The sequence below is a fragment of the Homo sapiens genome, chromosome 17 (genome assembly GCF_000001405.40).
Source record: "Homo sapiens chromosome 17, GRCh38.p14 Primary Assembly".
NCBI classification, from domain to species: Eukaryota; Metazoa; Chordata; class Mammalia; order Primates; family Hominidae; genus Homo; species Homo sapiens.
The window spans coordinates 57,590,233-57,610,077 of NC_000017.11; the positions used below are offsets into that span (position 1 = coordinate 57,590,233).

General features: G+C 49.6%; 1 protein-coding gene and 1 long non-coding RNA gene across 13 annotated transcripts in view, besides 5 other annotated features; one reads left to right on the forward strand and one right to left on the reverse strand.

Annotated features, from left to right (window-relative positions):
• The window catches only part of MSI2 (musashi RNA binding protein 2), a 445,731-nt gene that overhangs the window by 334,382 nt on the left and 91,504 nt on the right, over positions 1 to 19,845 (forward strand). For all 12 annotated transcript variants that reach the window (NM_001322250.2, XM_047435313.1, XM_047435314.1 and 9 more), the window contains one exon: positions 6,636 to 6,718. In NM_001322250.2, coding sequence (NP_001309179.1) covers positions 6,636 to 6,718 — 83 coding nt within the window. The remainder of the gene's footprint in view (positions 1 to 6,635; positions 6,719 to 19,845) is intronic.
• Positions 10,632 to 18,180, reverse strand: MSI2-AS1 (MSI2 antisense RNA 1). Its single transcript, NR_110807.1, has 3 exons — positions 18,028 to 18,180; positions 16,021 to 16,126; positions 10,632 to 11,776 (listed from the first exon to the last, which is right to left on the reverse strand). It is a non-coding gene; the product is annotated as an MSI2 antisense RNA 1 (long non-coding RNA).
• Positions 12,828 to 13,327: an enhancer, noted in NCBI's record as "H3K27ac hESC enhancer chr17:55680421-55680920 (GRCh37/hg19 assembly coordinates)". NCBI's record gives its function as "activates a minimal SCP1, AML or CMV promoter by ChIP-STARR-seq in naive H9 embryonic stem cells {active_cell/tissue: H9 hESC(naive)}" and the evidence as "EXISTENCE:reporter gene assay evidence [ECO:0000049][PMID:30033119]".
• Positions 14,982 to 15,877: an enhancer, noted in NCBI's record as "H3K4me1 hESC enhancer chr17:55682575-55683470 (GRCh37/hg19 assembly coordinates)". NCBI's record gives its function as "activates a minimal SCP1, AML or CMV promoter by ChIP-STARR-seq in primed H9 embryonic stem cells {active_cell/tissue: H9 hESC(primed)}" and the evidence as "EXISTENCE:reporter gene assay evidence [ECO:0000049][PMID:30033119]".
• Positions 15,907 to 16,156: an enhancer, noted in NCBI's record as "active region_12444". NCBI's record gives its function as "activates an Ori minimal core promoter by ATAC-STARR-seq in GM12878 lymphoblastoid cells {active_cell/tissue: GM12878}" and the evidence as "EXISTENCE:reporter gene assay evidence [ECO:0000049][PMID:35858748]".
• Positions 17,689 to 18,283: an enhancer, noted in NCBI's record as "NANOG-H3K27ac-H3K4me1 hESC enhancer chr17:55685282-55685876 (GRCh37/hg19 assembly coordinates)". NCBI's record gives its function as "activates a minimal SCP1, AML or CMV promoter by ChIP-STARR-seq in primed H9 embryonic stem cells {active_cell/tissue: H9 hESC(primed)}" and the evidence as "EXISTENCE:reporter gene assay evidence [ECO:0000049][PMID:30033119]".
• Positions 18,284 to 18,876: an enhancer, noted in NCBI's record as "NANOG-H3K27ac-H3K4me1 hESC enhancer chr17:55685877-55686469 (GRCh37/hg19 assembly coordinates)". NCBI's record gives its function as "activates a minimal SCP1, AML or CMV promoter by ChIP-STARR-seq in naive and primed H9 embryonic stem cells {active_cell/tissue: H9 hESC(naive and primed)}" and the evidence as "EXISTENCE:reporter gene assay evidence [ECO:0000049][PMID:30033119]".

A 19,845-nucleotide genomic window follows, 5' to 3' on the forward strand; every position in this document is an offset into this window, starting at 1 on the left:
TCATTGACCTATATGATAAGAGAAGAAAATTATTTTTGAGGCTAGGAGGAGGCTGTTCCCATCTTTCTCTCTCTGACCTAAAAAAAAATTCTCTTGTAAGTTAACTGTCGATGTTCCTCAGTGACTGCGTTTGGAGCAGGTCATTTTAATTTTGAGGTATCTCGTTTTCAGATTTCGATCTTCTTCTTCTGTGTATGTGGTCTTTTGTAGCTTTTATTATTCAGATGAATATTTAGTTTTGTTCATTTGGATAAAAGAGGGGGAAAAGGTTTGACTGTTAAATGCTTATCTCTTAAATAGTGCTTACTTGTTAGTTTCTAATAATAGCTTCATTCAAGAGAATGCCAGAATTTCATTTTTAAATGCTCCCTGTCAACTGCTACCCTATTAATATCCATTTTTAAACCACTGGTGTTTAGGGTTAACCTTCCCACCACCTTCTTTGTCCCCGCTTTGCTGACTACTGGAGCCCCTTGGAAGTGTGGGGTGCAGTTAAGGTGGGGGCTTTAGGAGAGGCGGGGCAGGTGCCACTTTGCTGATGCCAGGTGAGAAGGGTTTCTTTGGTGAACTAGTCTCTTGTTGCCCAAGTTCTGGCCCTTTGTTTCTCCCACCTCCCCTAGTTGTCAGTCCCTGGGTCTCCTCTCCATCCTGGGTGGTGGCTTGAGTGAGTTTAAATACCCAGGGAGGAGTTCTCTGGTTCTTAGGACCAAGGGAGATGAGCAGTGGATGTTCACAGGGGTAACCCAGAGGGCCCCGATGGAGTGCCAGCCCTCACAGACTCGCCATAGACTAGAATCCTCACTCTGTCAGGGCCTGGAGCAGGATCCCTGCTTCTGCCTGCATCTCTTACAGGTCCAGAGAGGCAAAGGGAGTCTCTGGGGCACATAGCTTGTTATCTGGCCCCTTGCTGAGTGAGGATAATTGTGTGTCTCTTTTACCTGGCTGCTACACCTCAGTTTGATGGGCCTTCATGAGGCTCCATTTCTGATTCTCTGTGGGGCCCTCTTCTAGGGCAATGAGAAGGAAATAATCATGACTCCCTGTCCTCCATCTCTCCCAAATCTCTTGTACATCCAGTAGATTGTTCAAAAGACTATGATGCCTTAAAAACATATGTCAAATAAAACAAGCCAGGCACAACAGTACAGGACATAGAGTGTATGATGCCACTTATATGAGAAAATTCATAGTCATAACAAGTAAAATATAAGCCGGTGTGGTGGCTCATGCCTGTAATCCCAACACTTTGGGAGGCTGAGGCAGGAGGATCGCTTGAGCCCAGGAGTTTCGAGACCAGCCTGGGTAACATGGTGAAACCCCATCTCTACAAAAAAATTACAAAAAATTAGCCAGGCATGGTGGCACACACCTGTAGTCTCAGCTACCTGACAGCCTGAGATAAGAGGATTGCTTAAGCTTGGGAGATCAAGACTGCAATGAGCCAAGATTGTTCTACTTTACTCTAGCCTGAGTGACAAGGGACTGAAACCCTGTCTCAAAAAAAAAAAAAAAAAGGAAAATAGAGGTTACTAGGGCTGGGGGAGGGGGAAATGGGGAGTTATTTAACGGGTACAGAAAAGGTCAGGAGGTGGATACTGGTGATGGCTGCACAGCATTTTAAGTGTACTTAATGCCACTGAATTGTGTGATTAAAAATGGCTACAATGGCCGAGCACATTGGCTCAATCCCAGCACTTTGGGAGGCTGAGGCAGGCGGATCACCTGAGGTCAGGAGCTCGAGACCAGCCTGGCCAACATGGTGAAACCCTGTCTCTACTAAAAATACAAAATTAGCCGGGTGCGGTGGCGTGTACCTGTAGTCCCAGCTACTTGGGAGGCTGAGGCAGGAGAATCGCATGAGCCTGGGAAGTGGAGGTTGCAGTGAGCCGAGATCGCGCCACTGCACTCCAACCTGGGTGACAGAGCGAGACTCTGTCTCCAAAAAAAAAAAAAAGGCTAAGATGGTTAATTTTATGTTACGTATATTTTACCAAAATAAAATACTTATTTCAGAAAAGAAGACTGTGATGCCAAAAGGATTTTTCCCACCCATCACTCTATCCCAAATTTCTGACCCCATTGTTTTTGTCCTCCTCTGCTCATTTTAATTCATTTTGGGGGTTATTCAGCACTAAGTTACTAATTCATTGTAAATGCTAATGCATCTGTGAAGTAAAAATGATTATATGTTAAGGAATAACACTTATTGATAATTAAGTGTTCTGTTGCTTCTTTGCTTTCCCCAAATGGAATAAATAAATATTTTAGACATAATCAAGTTTGTTTTCTCTGCTCGGGCCAAACAGACAGAGATGTTGAAATGATATAGGTCTTTAAAACACTGCAAATGAGTCTTGACATTGCTGAATTGTTATGCATCCAGGGTACATAGGCTTGAAATCCGGGCTATCTCCTTTAATCAGGAAAATCATTTTTGTGATACTTGAATTTTGAGTCCTGTGGGGTTAGGAAAAGGACCAGCGGGGAGAATATCAGAGTCAGAATTTGAGATGATGCCCTGAGTCTTGCCCCGACCCTTCCTGGTGCAACAGTCTGCATTTTAATTCCTGTCTCCTACCTCAGTTGCCTTTCTTCCCATCTCAGAGTGGGAAACTGGGGCATCAGAGAGTCCTGAATTACCATTCAGGGTATGGAGGTGATTTGTGCAGTGGACCAGGAAGGAGTTGGTTTGCAGCAGGAAAGCAGCTTCCATGGCCGGGAACTCAGCCATGGCCTGCCATGGTGACTTGACTTTACTCTGGCCTGTATTCTAGGATCAAGTGTGGATCTTTGCTTAGCTGCAAGGTGGCTTTAAACTAGGCTGTCCTCTGGCTCATGGGGCAGTGCCCTTCAGTGGTGGCACTGACTTCATGTTCTTTCCCCATAGCCAGGATGGGTTTTTCTCATTCATCCACTCTCTCCTGCCTTCAGTCCAGAGCAGCATGATTGGCCAAGTCAGCAGGCCTGGCGGGAGGAGGTTGCGTGCAGCCCCCCTGTGTGGGATATGGAGGCAGCTGAAACCTAGAACCTTGCTGTATTAGTTTTCTGTGGCTGCCGTAACAAATTACCACAAACTTCGTGGCTTAAAACAACAGAAACTTCTTGTCTCACAGTTCTGGAAGCCAGCGCTGCACTCCCCCAAGAGGTTCTGGGGGACAGTCGTTCCTTGCCTTCTGGAAAACCAGCTTCTTAAGACTCCAGGTGTTCCTGGTTTGTGGCAGTACCACTCCATTCTCTGCCTACCTCTGTCTTCACATGGCCTTCTTCTCTTTCTCTGTGTCTCAAATATCCCCTGTTTGTCTTTTAAGGACACCTGTCGTTGGATTTAGGGCCCACCCTAAATCCAGGATAATCTCTTCTCAAGATTCTTAATTAAATTACATTTGCAAAAGCTCTTTTTCCAAATAAGGTCACATTCATAAATTCCAGGGATTAGGACATGGATGTATGTTTGGAGGGCCACTATTCAACCTGCTACACTTGTCCTAATTAGCAGTGAGGTTCCCTAAAAACTGGCCTATCCTGGCTTGTTTTATTTGCAAGGTGCCTGGGCGTGGGGGCTGGGGCAGAGGGGTGACCTTCAAAGACAGATGAGACCCAGAGTGCCCCACAGGCTGGAAGTGAGGGGTGAGAGGGAGACGCTGTCCCTGCATGGGATCCTCTGACTCGTGCCTGTTCGTGAATTGTGCAAGCAGAGGGCCATTGCCTTGTTGATCTCCACGTCCTTCACAGTGCCTAGCACAGGTGGCAGCTGGTAAACGCAGAAGGAAGAGCGGAATCAGTCTTGAGGCAAAGCAGTGACTCAAGTGGATTAGCAAGATGCTCAGACCCTGGAGGAGCAGAAATGGCTCATTCAGTCACTCACTTAGCACTTGGTGTGTGTTAGGGGCCCTGTTCCGTCCTGAGGACCCTTAGAGGACAAGACCCCAGCATCACCCTCTTGCAGGGCGCTCTGGCTTGAAGGCACGCTGGCCAATTTCCGCGGCCTCCGCAGTGCCACCCCTCCCTCCCTGTGGGATTGCGGGAGGGTGCTGGCTCTTAATCCATTCTACTGGGGCCAGTTAGGATCTGGGCCCTAGGAGGGTGGGGCTGGGGGAAGGGGATTAACCAAAAAGATTAAGTTCCTGGCTGAGTGCTCCAGGGGTCCTTGACTGGGTGGGAGTTTTAACCTGATGTTTTTAAGGCTCCTCCCAACCCAGGATTCCTGAGACATACCCCAGTAGGGTGAGCTGAATGCCCTCAGGAAACTGAAAGTGCTTAAAGGAGCGCTTGAGGAACAAATACCCCAAAGCCCAAAGAGAAGTGGCTTGGGGAAGTGTCGGTGTGGCTCTTCTCCAGCTCTGCAATGATCAGTGGGACCAAGGGCCAAGGAGAAGGAGATGCCCAAAGAGAGGGAATAGGATAGCGTTCCCAGCAGCTTTCTCTCAAAGGACCTGGTTTAGGGGGTAGGGGGTATAAACCTGGTGAAAGGTTTTTTTGTTGGACAGCATTTCAAACCACGTATCCTGTCGGATGTCTGCTTCAGGCCTCTGAGGTAACTGAGAACCTAGCTTTTACTGGGTGACACTGGGAGAAACTCGGCATCTTTGAGCCCCTCCAGCAGACACTCATGTCCACTTTATGGTACATCTGATGCTGCCTTATGTATCTACAACAGGCTGGACTGTGTATGCTGGGAGCACTGGCCCAGTATTTGGCGGGTGGTGGTAGCAAATGACATGATAAAGATCACGATTGCTGTGTTTCGTGGTCCTAGCCCTCTGTTTTACTGGAAATGGTTTGAGAGCAGATAGTAGCCTTTTTTATTCTCATACCGAAGAATCTGCTAGTCCCTGCAGGAGCTATGCTAAAGGAGCTCCACATATCAGCTCCCTGTTTCCTGGTGTTCCTTGGAAGATGGTGATGTTAGAGTTGGATGCATGAGAGTCAGAAGGGACCTGAGAAATTCCCTCTCCGTCTTGTGTTGCAGGGACCCAAAATAGACACAGAGTTTGAAAAGGAAGCATCTGTATTTTGCTCATTGACTGGAAACACAATTATCATAATATAATTGTGATAGAACAGCCATTCAGTTTTTGTCTTCCTGCTTGGTGTGTCTGGCCATTCAGTTTTTGTCTTCCTGCTTGGTGTGTCTGGCTTAGTGTTCAGCCAGGTTCATACCTTTGGGGAGAAGAGTGTCTTAGCTGGGGCGGCTATAATGAAGTACCATGGTCTAAGAAAAACGGTTTATTTCTCACAGTTCTGGAAGCTGGCAGTTAAGAGCAGGGTGCCAGCATGGTCATTTCTGGGAGGGCCCCCCTTCCTGTGTACAGACAGCTGCCTTCCTGTTGCATCCTCGCATGGTAGAGAGAAAAAACAAGCTTTCTAATGTCTTTCTGTAAGGGCACTAATTCCATTTATGAGGGCCCCATCCTCACGAACTCATCACCTCCCAGAGGCCTGAACTCTTAATACCATCACATTGGGAGTTTGGATTTCAACATGAATCTGGGTGGGGGGTCGGGGGGCAGCAAGGGGCAGCCACAAACATTCAGATGGCAGCAGACAGCCTTGTGAATCCTGATTTGGGCTGTGACAGGAGGTGTGAAACCCAGGGTCCAGTTCTACCACCTTCATTTGCAGATGCAAAAGTTGAGGCTCAGAGAGGGCAAGGGGCTCCCCCAGATTAAACATAAAGTAGATGCACAGTGAGAAGTGGAAGCCAGGTCTCAGTCTCCCCATCAGTGTGTCTGCCCCCATGGCCTGTGCTCCCTCGCCATGTTAACGCTACCATGTGGCAGCTGCATCCCATCCAAGGAGGGTGCAACCCTGCATGGGGCCATGTGGTAAAGCAGCACTTACTGAGTGGGGTCACAGATGGGGCCACATGCTGGAAACGCTGTCGGAGGCGGGAGGAGAAGAAAGAAAGGGGCAGGAGGGTAGGAGAGGAACTGAGGATACTGAGCAGCAGTCGCCTGCCAAAATTCTTCAGTGCAGCTTGTCTAGCAAAGCCGGTCTCCAGCAGAGTACATACAGTGGATAGCTGACGGGCTGACAGCAGGCATCAAACAGTCTTAAACTGCCCCAAATCCAGAGCGCTTTTGAAGCAGCAGTATAAAAAGGATGCCTGCGCGGAACAGAGGCCTGAAACTTTTAATAGTTTCTTCCAGGCCTCAGGATGTCCTGATGAGGTATTAGAGGAAGTAATTCAGGAAGAAAAGGACAAATAACCACCTCCGTCTGGAGGCCGACCCGAGGGCTGGCCAGGGCTGCTCGCGGAAAGGGCAAGCGTGGCCCCGCAGTGATCCACGAGGCTCTGGTTAGCCCACCCGCCTGCTGCCGTGCACAGAGCCGCGGGGCTCTGACCCTTGTAAATAACAGACAAGTAAATTTCTTGTTTGCTTCGGGGCAAATGTAAACCACACAGTGCCCGCTGCATGTGGGTGAAATCATTAACTTTTCCTCGCTGTCGGAAGGGTGCTCAGTACAAATTAGAAATCATTGCCTCCAACCTCAAGGTCCTCCCAAGGATCCGCCTACCTACCCCCAGACCAGGAGGCTGTCAAGACCTCAGGACGTCAGAGAAAAACCTGGGCCTGCCAGAACTGAACTCACCCCGCCTCTCTTTGTTTTTTCTTCTCTCTCTTTTCCTTTAGGGTTTGGCTTTGTCACTTTTGAGAATGAAGATGTTGTGGAGAAAGTCTGTGAGATTCATTTCCATGAAATCAATAATAAAATGGTAAGTGTGTAGGGGTTGCGCTGAAATGGAATGCCCCCTTTCTCTACGTACACACCCAGTCTTGCAGACTGGTCCAGCCCATCATCAGGCTGGAGTGGGCAGGGGTGGGGAGGGGGCTAGATGCTCGGGGTCCAGGCCTGTGAACAGTAGCAGTTGTTTCATACTGAGGTGGACAAACTCTGTAAAGGGCCAAGTCGTGAATATTTTCATCTTTGCAGGCCATAAAGCTGACTGCAGCTACCCAGTTCTGCTGGGTAGCGTCCATAGGCAATGCATACATAAAGCAGTGGGGCTGTGTTTCAATAAAGCTTTGTTTATGGACACCAAAATTTGAACCTTATGTAATTTTCACAGATCACAAAATATTAATTTTTTAACCACTTAAAATGTAAAAACCAGGCCAAGCATGATGGCTCACGCCTATAACCTCTGCACTTTAGAAGGCCAAGGCAGGAAAATCACTTGAGGCCAGGAGTTCGAGACGAGCCTGGGAAACATAGCCAGACCTCATCTCTTAAAAAAAAAAAAAAAAAAAAAAAATTAGCTGGGTGCAGTGCACCTGTACCCCACCTACTCGAGGTGAGAGGATCACCTGACCCCAGGAGGTTGAGGCTGCAGTGAGCCATGATCACACCACTGTACTCCAGCCTGGGCAACAAAGTGAAACCCTGTCTCAAAAAAAATAAAAATAAAATAAAATGTAAAAGCCGTTCTCAATTCTTGGACTTTACATAAACAGGCAGAAGGGCGGGATTTGACCTATGAGTCGTAACTTGCTGGCACCTGGCTTAGGATATTCTTTTGCTGTGCAGCTTTTGAGAGGTATATCCTAGATAGGAAGTTTACTGCACCAAACTATTTTTCTCTTTGGGTCCTGCTGGAAAATTAACATTCCCTCCCTTGCCATCAATTAATTTCTGCCCTCTTGATCAGCTGCTTCCTTCCCTCTCTTTGGCTCTTTAAAGTTCCTTTTTCTGCCACAGCAGCCTCAAGAGGAAGGGAGGTTGGATTACTGGAAGTTTGGGAAGTCGTGTAGGCCTCCCAGATCAGTGGCCACCAGAGGGTGCCATATCATGCATAGCATTTGCACACTCACAAACTCCTTTCTTCGGATTGAGTAGGAGGGTGAGAATTCCCTTCTTTGTTGGTTCCAGAAAAATAGAAGCTCAGCAGGTGTTTCTGGAACCAGTCCTTTGGAGCAAAAACATTTTGGTTGGCCACGAGAGCCTCCAGCCTCAAGAGAAGAGGGAGGGCAAATCTGTGTTTCAATTGCAGCTGTAACTTTAATATTTTCTTCCTTTTGTCAAAACATTTCTTGCTTCTAAAACATGCGTTCAGACATGCATTGTATATTGGTCTGATATGTGTTCACCAACTTTAAATTCAATAATAGAGCTTTTAGTGTGGATAAGATCAAAGCAATCTGCTTAGCATGTGGCGCTACAGGCCTGATTCAATATTTGACTTGCTAATTTTTTCCCAGGGCACTAAAATAATATTGTTCGTATTGTTCCTTGCCATCATATGCATCTGAAATGAAAATACTCTTTTTTTGCGTACTGTATGTTGGAGGCATCAACTCAGACATTAAAATGGTAGGAGGGAGATAAGTGTGACAGAATAACACAGGTCCCCTCATAGGCTTTCTCAGCTCCCCAGATGTCCGTGCAAGTTTACAGTTGGTACTTTTCTCTTGGTAGGTTACTACTTGCTATTTTTTTTTTTTAATTGAGACAGAGTCTTGCTTTGTTGCCCTGGCTGGAATGCAGTGGCACGATCTCGGCTCACTGCAACCTCCGCCTCCCGGGCTCAAGCAATTCTCCTGCCTCAGCCTCCCAAGTAGCTGGGACTACAGGCATGTGCCAGCACACCCAGCTAATTTTTGTATTTTTAGTAGAGACGGGGTTTCACCATGTTGGCCAGGCTGATCTCAAACTCCTGACGTCAAGTGATCCACCTGCCTCGGCCTCCCAAAGTGCTGGGATTACAGGCATGAGCCACTGTGCCCGACCAGTACTAGCTATTTTTAAAAAGAGAGAGAGAGGACTTAAATGAAACTTGCATCCACTGCCCAGATGCCTTGTTTATCCTAGCCAGAGCACGCCATTGACAGGCTCCACTAAGGCTGCTGGGCAGTGGGGAATAGAAGAGAGTACTGGCAGATGCCATTCCTGTCTTGCCAAGCCTTAAGGGTTCATCAGGAAAGGCCAGATGTAGACCGGAAGGACATTGCTCCATTTGTCACCTTGAATGCATATGTGTAGCCCTTCCCTGTTGACAGGCTTTGAAACAAACCCGAGACACAGATGGGGAAAGGCTTTATCCTGGGAAACTGAGGCTCAGGGGATAGGTCCCAGGCTATCCAGAGAGCGAAGGAGCATAGGTCTTGAGCTTACTGGTGCCAAAGGAACTATATAGACAGTTGTTGGAGCTTGGGGGTGGGAGGGTGAATCCCCAGATAACCCGGGCAGCAATCAGGAAGTAGAGCTTCTGCCCCAGAAGAAGAACCCATGGGGCTGGCTTGAAGCCAGAGAGATTTGCAGCCATTTTCCTGTTTCATATTTATCGCCTTCTCTCCCACCCAGGTGGAGGGTGACTATGTCAGGTGCACGTAACCGGGTTTTTAGTGTAAGGGTTTGTGTTTGCCTTTGAATCTGGGGCTAGTACTTGTTCTTCAAGAGAATGAGCAAAGATGGAAGTAGACAAGAGGAAGAAGTGGGGGCAGATTGATTCGGATGACAGGCTTTGGAGGTGTTGGTCCACGTTCCCAGCACAGCCCAACAGTTATGAGCTCCAAGGTGGGGAGTTTAGAGGCCCTGGGAGAGGACTTTGGAGAAGAACACTGGGCCTTGCTGAGCTCCAGTAAGACAGGGCTGGTAATGATACTGCCTCATTGGGTTGTTAGAGACTGGGTGACATACCAGGAGCAAAGGGCTTACTTAGCACAGTGTCTGCACAGGGTGCAAGCTTGATCTGTGTTATCTCTTGCCATTATCCTTGCCATCATCCACGAGTTGTCATTGAGAGAGATTTCTCCAGCCAATTCCCCTCCTCTGAAGAAGGGTGGAATTTAAAGGGTGTTGGTAGAGAAGCCTGCATCCTGAATTGTTTTGGTTTTTGTGATACTGGTTTCTACTTCTGAGGCCCAAAGAAAAGGAAATGAGTTTAAACTGGGCTATGGACAGAATTCAAATGAGATATCTGGAAAAACTGAAAACTCAGAGACTGCCAAACAAGAACATGGATGATTGTTAGAATGTGCATAGGAGTGTTTCATAAACAGGACTGTGCTGTGAAACCACAGACCCATCTCCTCAAACCCTCGCAATCTTTCTGGGTATTTGGCAGGAAGTGGCAGATAGCTGCACCCCCTGGTACATACTGGAGCCATGATTTTTTTATATTCACAGATGGGAAAGGTCTTACTGCAGATTAGTCACAGACATAGTACTTGAATCTAGGTCTTCTGGTTCAATCTCATGTGCCTGGCACTTAGGAGACCCTGTATAAATAATTGTGGACTAAATAAAGGATTCACTGAAGGACCACATGTCTGTGAGGCACATTATAATTCCTAAAGCCATTGCCCATCTAATTGGGTCGGGGAGTCTCTTCCTGGGCATTTTTTAAAATGGAGTTCCTTCTCTACCATGCAGAAGGGCCAGGAGAAGGCGTGAGTCATTCTACTCACAGGGGACCAGGATAGCTGTCTTTGGGAAGTGGGGATCACAGGAATCCTTCCTTCATTCTCCATGTAGGCCCTGCCTTAAGGAGGTTATCTCCAGGCAGGAGGATGCCCAGAAAGACCCCACATGACACCCTTTCACACATAAAGATCCCACTAATAGCTGACATTGGGTGGTACAAACTACATACTCTACTAAACACTTTATGCATCATGCATCTTATTTCATTTGATTTTCACTTACTCTTTAATCATTATCCCCACTTACAGATTGGCAAGGCAAGGCAGAGAGAGGTTAAGCAGTTTGCCCAAGGTCACATGGTCAGCAAATGGCAGCCCCAGAATTCGAGCCCAGAAAGCTATACTCCAGAGCTCACATCTGTACCCATCAGACTGTGTGTCCCCTTCAGGCCAAAAGGGGCTTTCAGGGTTATGTAGCTGGGCTGCAGGCCCTCCATCACTGACCACCCTTTCCCAGTCAGCTATGTCGTGGCCCATGTGGTTCCATGTTCTCCTAGGAGAAGAGCAGAGGAGACAGGCCAGATTCCCAGCTAGGGAGAAGGACCACGCTTGGGTTTAACAGGTCCCAGATCTCCATGCCTCTTCCTCCACTGCCACAGACACAGATAAGTGACGAGCATGGGTCAGGAGCTGACTGCCACCCAAGCTCAGGGCCAAACCCACAAGCTCTCCAAGCCAGAGCAAAATGCAAATGTGGCTCTTTATCAATAAACACACACAAATGCATGCACAGAGCTGCCTCGTGACCCACCAGAGAGGGGATCCTCCCTGGCCACTCTGTGTGCCCCAGTGCGGGTGCAGCTAATAATGCCTCCCGTGGCGTCCCCCTGATTGAAGCAGCCCCTGAGCAGCAGGGACACTTGCTTGATGAGTCACCACAGCCCAGCCTTCAAGCGGCCTCCTGACGAGCCGGGCAGCAGCAGGAAGGGAGGTGAGAATTGACAAGAGCCACCTCCAGGCATCCGCAGAGGCCTAGTACAGCCTAGAGCTTGAAATGATGTTGGGGAGCCATCACCACCCTCATTGGGTGAGAGCGTGGGTACAGCCTGAAAGGTGCCTGGGACGAGGGCATCTCGGGTAGAGCCTTTCCTCACGCCTGATTCACCAGAAAGGAATCGGTGCTTATAGGCACTGGGACTGTGCTTTACGTGCGTGCTGTCTCCTTTTGTCCTCACAACATCCTGAGCAGGAGTCCTCATCTCATTTTACAGAGGGGTTCACTAGAGCTCAGCAGCAGTGGATCTTCCTTGGTGGGACAGTTCTAAGGGATAGAGCTGGGATTTGAACCTGTGTCATTCTGGTTCCGAACCCTCTGTTCTTCTCATTATACCTTGCTGCCCATTTAGGCAAACCTAGTATTTGAAAAATATGGATTTATATGATGAGTGAATATCAAGAAGAGTTTTTATTTGCTTCATACAATACTACTGCAGGATTACTTTAAATCAACTTTGTCCAACCCATGACCCACGGGCCATATGCGGCCCAGGATGGCTTTGAATGTAGCCCAATGCAAATTCATAAACTTTCTTAGAACATTATGAGATTTTTTTTTTAATTTTTTTTTTTAAAGCTCATCAGCTATCTTTAGTGTTAGTGTATTTTATGTGCGGCTGAAGACAGTTCTTCCGGTGTGGCCCAAGGAAGCCAAAAGATTGGACACCCCTGCTTTCTGTTTTTTGTTTTTTGTTTGTTTTGTTTTGTTTTGTTTTTGGAGACAGGGTCTCATTCTGTCACCCAGGCTGGAGTGCAGTGGCACGATCTCGGCTTACCACAACCTCTGCCTCCCAGGTCTGAGTGATTCTCGTGCCTCGGCCTCCCGAGTAGCTGGGATTATAGGCATGCGCCACCACGCCCAGCTAATTTTTTGTGTGTTTTTAGTAGAGAGAGTGTTTCACCATGTTGGCCAGGTGGTCTAGAACTCCTGGTCTCAAGTGATCCCCTTGCCTCTGCCTCCAAAAGTGCTGGGATTACAGGCATCAGCCACTACACCTGGCTACACCCCTGCTTTAAATAGTCCTTTTTCTTACTCCTTTAAGGTGATAGGATTTACAGAAATTTGCTAAGTAACTCATGGGTACAGCTACTTTGGTTGTCCCTTGTCTTGGAATGAGAGGTCTGGATGCTGGTAATCAAAGTGTGGTCCATGTACCAGCAGCCTTGGCAGCCCCTAGGAGCTGGTTAGGAATGCAGAGTCCCAGGACCCACCCTAGACCTACAGAGTCAGAATCTGCATGCTGACAAATCCCCAGTGATTGGCGTGCACATTAAAGTCTGAGAAGCACCAGGCAAGGGCCACTGCTAATGACAGATAATGTGGGACTTGTGGGTCATAAATTGCCCAGCCATCATCATCAGAAGGAAGGGACTTGGGAATGAAGGGAGCACGGAGCCAGGCCAAATGGGGCCAAACCAGGCCTGGCACCTGGACCTCCAGGCCAGTCTGGTGCTCTTGGCACCACTCCATACTCCCTCTATGGTCAAACAGAGACCAGATTTCCGAAGATCTCCCAGAGGAAGCTCTCAGTGCCAGAGACTGCTCCCGCCCCTCACCATGCCCTACCCCTCTGGGTGCAGGCCTTGGAGCATTGCTTGCAGAAGACACGTGAGGCATGCATCTCTTGGGGTAAAGGGCTCGATTCTCCTGAGTGAGGTGCACGTGTCCTTGTCCCCAAGTCGGGACCTGCTGGGTCACTTAGAGGCACCAAGAGAGCCTTGGAACCTGAGCCTGAATCCCAGGTCCACCGCTGGTGATTCTGTAACCACAGGCGAGTGCCCTACCTGTCTGCACCAGTTTGCTCCTGTGGGAAATCAGAAGGTTGAGGATGGCTGCCTTTTGCAGCTTATATAAAGCTCTGCTTTGATACCTGGAGGTCTCGGCCTGTTCTGTTGTAGGGTATGTAATTGGGTAGCCTTGAAGGAATCAGCCCTTGATAACTTCACGTTTCCCCCACTGGGCCTAAGCCAGGGGCCAGCAAATTTTCTGTAACGGGCCAGAGAGTCTCTGTCACATCTACTCAGCCCTGCCATTGTAGCACAAACACAGTCCAGGCAATATATAAATGAAGGGGCGTGGCTGTGTTCAAATAAAGCTTATTTGCAAAAACTCATGGCAGCTGGGTTTGGCCTGCTGGCCACAGTTTGTTGACTCCTGGACTAAACTAATCTAGCTCAGAGCAGGCCCAGTCAGGGTGCTCCTTGTCTACAGGGGTCCAATGAAAGGCATTTAGCCAAATGGTCAGCCAGTTTCACTATTGAGCACACATTATTAGGGGCAGAGTAGAAAGGGGGTGCCCCAAACAGGCACACGAGTTTGGGGATAGCAGCCTGTGGAAAGTATCAGTGCCTTCATTCTTTGGGGGAGCCCCCAGGTGGGGAGTGACACAATGGTCAGAACAGGGTGCTGTCAACCAGGGCGGCCTTCCTGGTAGAGGGTGCCTCAAGTCCTCAGTGCTGAACCCCCTTCCACTTCCCAGCTTTGTGGCCTTGGGCAAGTTACTTCTGTGTTTCGGCTCTGTGGTTCCCCTTTCTATAAAACAGGTTGTGGTAGTGCCTACCTCGGAGAGTGCTGTGACTTAAGACTTGTAAGGGGTTTGGAACAGAGCCAGGCCATGGCACGCTCTCTATCAGAGTGATAGATTTTTTCACCACTGTCGTCATTGTCATCATTCTTAGAATTATTTTACTGAGCAAATAAAGAGTTAGCAGGTAAGGAGGTCCTCAGCAGATTATAAGTCAGTAAAATGCAAGTGGTGCGGGACCTGGGCAGGACTGGGTCCCGAGCCTGCGGGGCAGGGATGGAGAGTATGAGGTGGGCACTCTCAGTGCCTCTGGGGATGGTCCTAGGAAAGGAGGTGGTGCACCTCCCAAAGCAGGAGGAACCAAGAGATGTGATTGTCTAGGTCCTGGAAAAGCTGAGTCCCACTCTTCACCTGACTCATTCTTTAAGAAGGTTCCAGAAAAATCCACTTCTAAGAGCAAAGCCTACTGAGATCTTAGGCCTGCTACCCTTCAGCCCAGGGCATACCTGGGGGATTGACTCGGAACAGGGGATTCTGGGGAAGGAAGGGCAGAAGGATAAGAAGGGAGGAGGGTCCTGAGCTGTCCTCTTGGACTCAGGGCTGCGGTGCTGTGACCAGCCCATCCATGGAGGCCAGCCGCAGGCTAGGGTCGGCTTCTGGGCCCTGCCACCTGGCAAGGTGCCCAGTGATTGGCTCACCCCCCCACTCCTTCCAGCTGCTCCTCCTCAGCCCTGAAGACAACTCAGTCGGGAACCAGCCCAAAAGTGGTGGGTGTATTTGTGTGTGGGGAGGGGGGCGGGTAATGTGGGTGGAATTAACTAGGCTTCTGTATTCACAATCCTATTTGTAGCATCATTCTCACTCGTAAGCTAATTTTAGCCATCCATTCTGCTTCTGTTGCCATTTATAAAATGAGAATGTCAAATGCAATATTAAACAAGCAGGATGAAGGCAAAAAAGGAAATGCCAGAGAGGCATTTAATAAATGAATCTGGTGTTTACGTGGGAGAGGGAGAGATCCTGCCCCCCACGCATCACACACGCAAGCGCGTGCACATGCTGTTTGTGTACAGGCTGTGTTAATGAGAGCAGAGTGATTAGTGTGTTGGGGGAGGCCGGGTGGTTCGGTGGTAAATGTTTGTTGCTCTTTAGGCAGAAGTAATTTGGCCTGCAGGGAGTGGCCTCCCAGTTGCCTGAGTGGTTCGCTTGCCCTTCATCTGTCCTCTGGCGATGTCAGTGTAGGCAGGGCCAGGGAGGGCAGTGGTCTGTCTCCTCAGTATCTCAGCACCCAGTGCCTCTGGGCTTTTCTGAACGTGCTGCCACCAGCGTCCCCGTACTCCACCCCCAGGGCGCAGGGTCATGAGAGGGGAGCATGGAGACCACTAGGAGGGGCTGCCCCCCCTTCTCTTCTGCCTCTTCCCCGCGCAGAAGGCAGGGCATGAACAGTCTGCGCCCGTATGCAGCTGCAGAGACCAAGCCCAGAGTAGCGTGGCTCTTGCCTGGACTCTTGCCAATTTCTCTTCTAGTTTCACTCTAGTTTCCCCAGGGCCTGGGAGTTCTGTCCCTGGTTCTTCCTTTGCCCTCTTCTTTCAGCTGCCTCTGCCTAGAAAAGAAGGCTCAAGCCATACCTTTTATTTTCTCCCTCTTTTAAATAAATGAAGTTAGGCCCCACGCAGGGCCTCTGGCCCAGCCCACCGTGCCCTGGGGTAAGCACTCCTCCAGCCTTGTGGCGGAACCTGAGCACCTGCTGGAGGCTGAGGTTTCTTTCCACTTTGAAATGCCCTTGCAGGTTCCCAGAAATGAAAAGGAGGACAGCTGCTGCTGCCACCATCAGCTTTTTCCCCAAATAGTGCGGCCTGGGAAGCTCTCTTTGCACATCCTGCTGATGAAAGCAGGGAGATGGGACCTACCTGGCCGACAGGTGCAGGGAGGGTTAGGGAGAAAGGCAATGACTGTGTGCTAAGAATCTGCTGTGCTGGGGAGGCTGCTGCTCTCTCTCTTCCTCTTCACTCCCCATTCTGGGATTTCAGTGAACACAGATGTGACCTGACTTCATCACCTTCAAAGGCACTCACCTAGGCTCCATGTGGAGAGGGCAAGGTGTGACTCAACCAACTTTATCCAGTGCAAGCACTTTGTAGGATTAGCTCCGAGAGCCCTATGGGGTAGGCACAGCTGTCACTGTTTTAGAGATGAGAAAATTGAGGTGCAAAGAAGTTAGTCAGCTGGTCTCAGCTCAGAGAGCCGGCAAGTGGAACAGAGATTTAAAGCCAGGAGCCTTAGCCCTAGGCTAGACTGCCGTATAACAGACTAGGAGGCACCCACTCTCAGATCTGGGCAGGGTGGGGGCTGCAGTTATTGGGGTACATCTCAGGTGATATTGGGGACCAGCTCCTCTCTACCCATTGCCCAGATTCTGAGGACCTCTGAGGGAAGAGCCACATCTCAGCCACATTCATTTCTGTGTCCACACCCAGCCGCTGCTTGGTAAATAGTAGATGCTTAATGTTTATTTTTGGTTTATGACCTATTTTACTTTGCCATCACTGATTGTAATAAAACACTGAGCAGAGGAAACAATGGATGAAATTAATTCTGGAAGTGGTAAGGAGATCAGTTGTGGAAGCTAGCATCGGGAAAGGCTTTGTGAACTAGACGCAGATAGGCCTTGAGGGTTGGGTGGAGAGTGTGGGGAAGGGCTGTGTGAGGTGGGGTGATGGGGGGGGGTGGCTGGCAGCCAGAGACCCAGAGGAGGGAGCAGGGGTTTTGAAGCTGGGGGTCTATGATTGGATTCTGACTGTGCTTTGTGACCTTGGGCAAGTCATTCCTTAGAACTTCTGTGTCCTTTTCTGCTGTAACTACGAGGCGGGTAAGGCCATCGCACAGAGGAAATGAGGCTCCATGCAATGAGGGAGTTGACAACCATGGACATTCTTTGAGGACTTCTGTGTGCCAGGCACTGTGCTTTATATCCATTATGTGTATATGTTATGTAATATATGAAAATTACAAGGATGTTGTGGCTGTGCCTAGTTATGGATAGCACTCAATAAACAGTGCGTGCCTTCCTCCCCAGAGTAACCCTCCTGAGTCAAGATTATAAATCTAACAGGTCTCTCAATGCCTTTTGCAAACAGGTCTGGGCCATTTATAACATGCATGTGTCCTGGAAGGTAGACATTCCTGCTGCCTGCCTTTCCCTATGGAAGCTGGCAGCTCCATTTCTGTTTGCACAGTAACCCCTTCCTCTGTAGACTGCATGGGCAGGTCCCACATCCATGAGGACCTTTTTGCAGTAGAACAAGGAAAGTTATCATTTACAAGTAGGTCCCCTGGTGCTTGGCCACACGCTGGTCCCTGTCCACAAGGACAGTGCCTGATTATGATGTCTGAGAAGGGAGGAGGGAGGGTCTCTTCCGCTCACTTTCCAGTATCCACAGTGACCAGCTGGGAAGCCTGTCTGTGTTAGGCCGTTCTCGCGTTGCTATAAAGAAATACCTGAGACTGGGTAATTTATTTAAAAAAGAAGTTTAGTTGGCTTACAGTTCAGCGGGTTGTACAGGCATGGTGCCAACATCGCTAGGCTTCTGGGGTGGGGCCTCAGGGAGCTTTTACTCACGGAGGAAGGCAAAGTAGGAACAGGCACGTCGCTTGGTGAAAGCAGGTGCAAGCAAGCGAGAGAGTGCAGGGAGGTGCCACACATTTTTAAGCAACTCCGAGTAAGAGCTCACTCATCACCAAGCAGGTGGCCCAAACCATTCACAAGGGATCCACCCCCATGAATCAGAGGCTTCCCACCAGGCCCCACCTCCAACACTGGGGAGTACATTTCAACATGAGATTTGGGCGGAGACAAATATCCAAACTATATGACTACCTGAGTTTGCAAAGGAGCAGAAGGGCTTGTACCAGTGAGGGAAAAGGACTGCAGAGTGGTTAGGGACCCTTCCCCTGCCAGATTGAAGGACCAGGGCTTCCCAGCACAGCTGCCAGGATTTACAGGGGTGCAATTGCTGCCTCACCAACCCCCTAGCCCCTTACTGGCTTCTTAAGGCCTTGCCCTCACCTGGCCACATACTCACGCTAGTCAGGAATCCATCTTGGCCTCTGGCCCTGGGCAAGAAGAGCAACAGGATGGAATTGAAACCCTGGAGCAGATGTTAGAACTGAGTAGAGGTGACCTGGCTCTCTGAAGCTCACGCAGGAGTGATGGTGACATGCCCATCTCAAGTGGGAGCTGCACATGGAGGGCAGCCGAGGTTCCTGCGTTTCCCTCCCCGGGCCACTTCACCTCCCCTAGGTGGGTTCCACCCCCTCTCCTTGTTACATCATAGCCTCTTTCTCCAACACATTCAACAGCTCTCTCTCAGCAGTGCCAGCTTCCTGGGTGTAAGGCCTGAGCCGTCGCTTGGCCCTGTCCTCAGAGGCCCCCCACGCTGGTCTAATGCTCTGCTCTTTGTTGCCGTCTTGCAAATCCTAGTCATTGTTGGTCAAAGGACCCCTTGTCGTCTTTTTGTCATGGGCCCTGTTCGTTCTGCTGTGAGGCTGACTCAGGGCCAGGTGCCGTGCAGGTACACAGTAGGAGTTGAACTCTGATCAAGGGCTTGTTTTGTGTTTATCTTCCTTGCTTTGCAAGTTCCTTGAGGGTGGGTCTCCCCGAATCTTGATTATAAACCTGCAAGAGCCTTACAAAATGTCCTGCTTTTTGTGGGGTCTCCAGAAAGGCTTGTGATTGGCAGAGGGGGCAGGAGAGCAGTGACCAGGAAGAAAAAAGGCTGTGGCCACTGGATGGCAAAGGAGGGCTGTGCAGGGAGGTATGTGTGACATGTGGTCTCTGGAGGCCAAGCTCACCCCTCCTGCCTCAGTAGCAAGATGTGTGTAGCTGTCAGGCTCTAGGCAAGACACTTTACACTTGAGTAGCATCTCCCCTCCTCTTCACCATCTCCCTGGGCAGGGCTCAGGGCCTAATGTCCGGAGGTGAGGATCTTCAGAGAAACAATGTTGGCCTCAAACCCACCAGAACCTGGCTGGGGAAGAGGTCAAGCTGATCAGGCGCAAGACCAGGTCAGGCCTCTTATGTCTGTTAGGAAACGCCACAGAAGGACAGATACCCACCCTAGAAGCTGCAGGACCTCCTCTCCTCCTGAGCCCTTTCCTCCCTCTGCTCCCCTCCCCTTTCTGTTAGCCAGACAGTCAGACGGTCAAGGTTGATACCTGAGCACTGGGGAATTTTATCCATCGAAATAGGCCTCTCCCTCTGGAGGACTAAACAGTCTCAGACACGACCTGTTTGGAGTGAGAAATGAAACTGCAAACACTGGCCTCTTCAGGCCAAACAGGCTTTCCTTGTCCTGGATGGTACATCAAGGCCACAGGTCCAGGGCTTGGATTTCCCTCTGGGCCCCAAGGCCGCGTGCTGACTGGGTTCTTTTGTACAGAGACCAGGGAAAAACAAAAGCCCTTTACTTCCCAAAGCTTGGCATACTCCTCAGACTGCCAGCCACCATCCCCAAAGATGCCAGGGCAGTGAGCTTACCTTTGCAAGGGCTTCGGATCCACTGGGGAGGAGTGGCCACTCATAGTAGCTGCAGGGAAGCTGTTCTTGCAGAAGCTCCAGCACCTCCTCTGAAAGCCAGTGCTAAGCATTCCCCGCTAGGGAGAGGGTGTAACGCAGGGCCACAGCACCCACTCTCCTGGCTTGGGCTGGGGCTATAGGCAGATCGGGATTAACATCCCAGCCCTGCACACAGGTACTGGGTCTGGACCACAGGTTAGATGTCTGAGTCTGAGCCTCAGTTTCCTGCTCCGTGGGATGGATATATAGCTATAAAGGTCATTATCGGGTCCGCTGGCAAAACAAGCGTATGGAAGGTAAAGTATTGCATTAATGTTAAACGTAC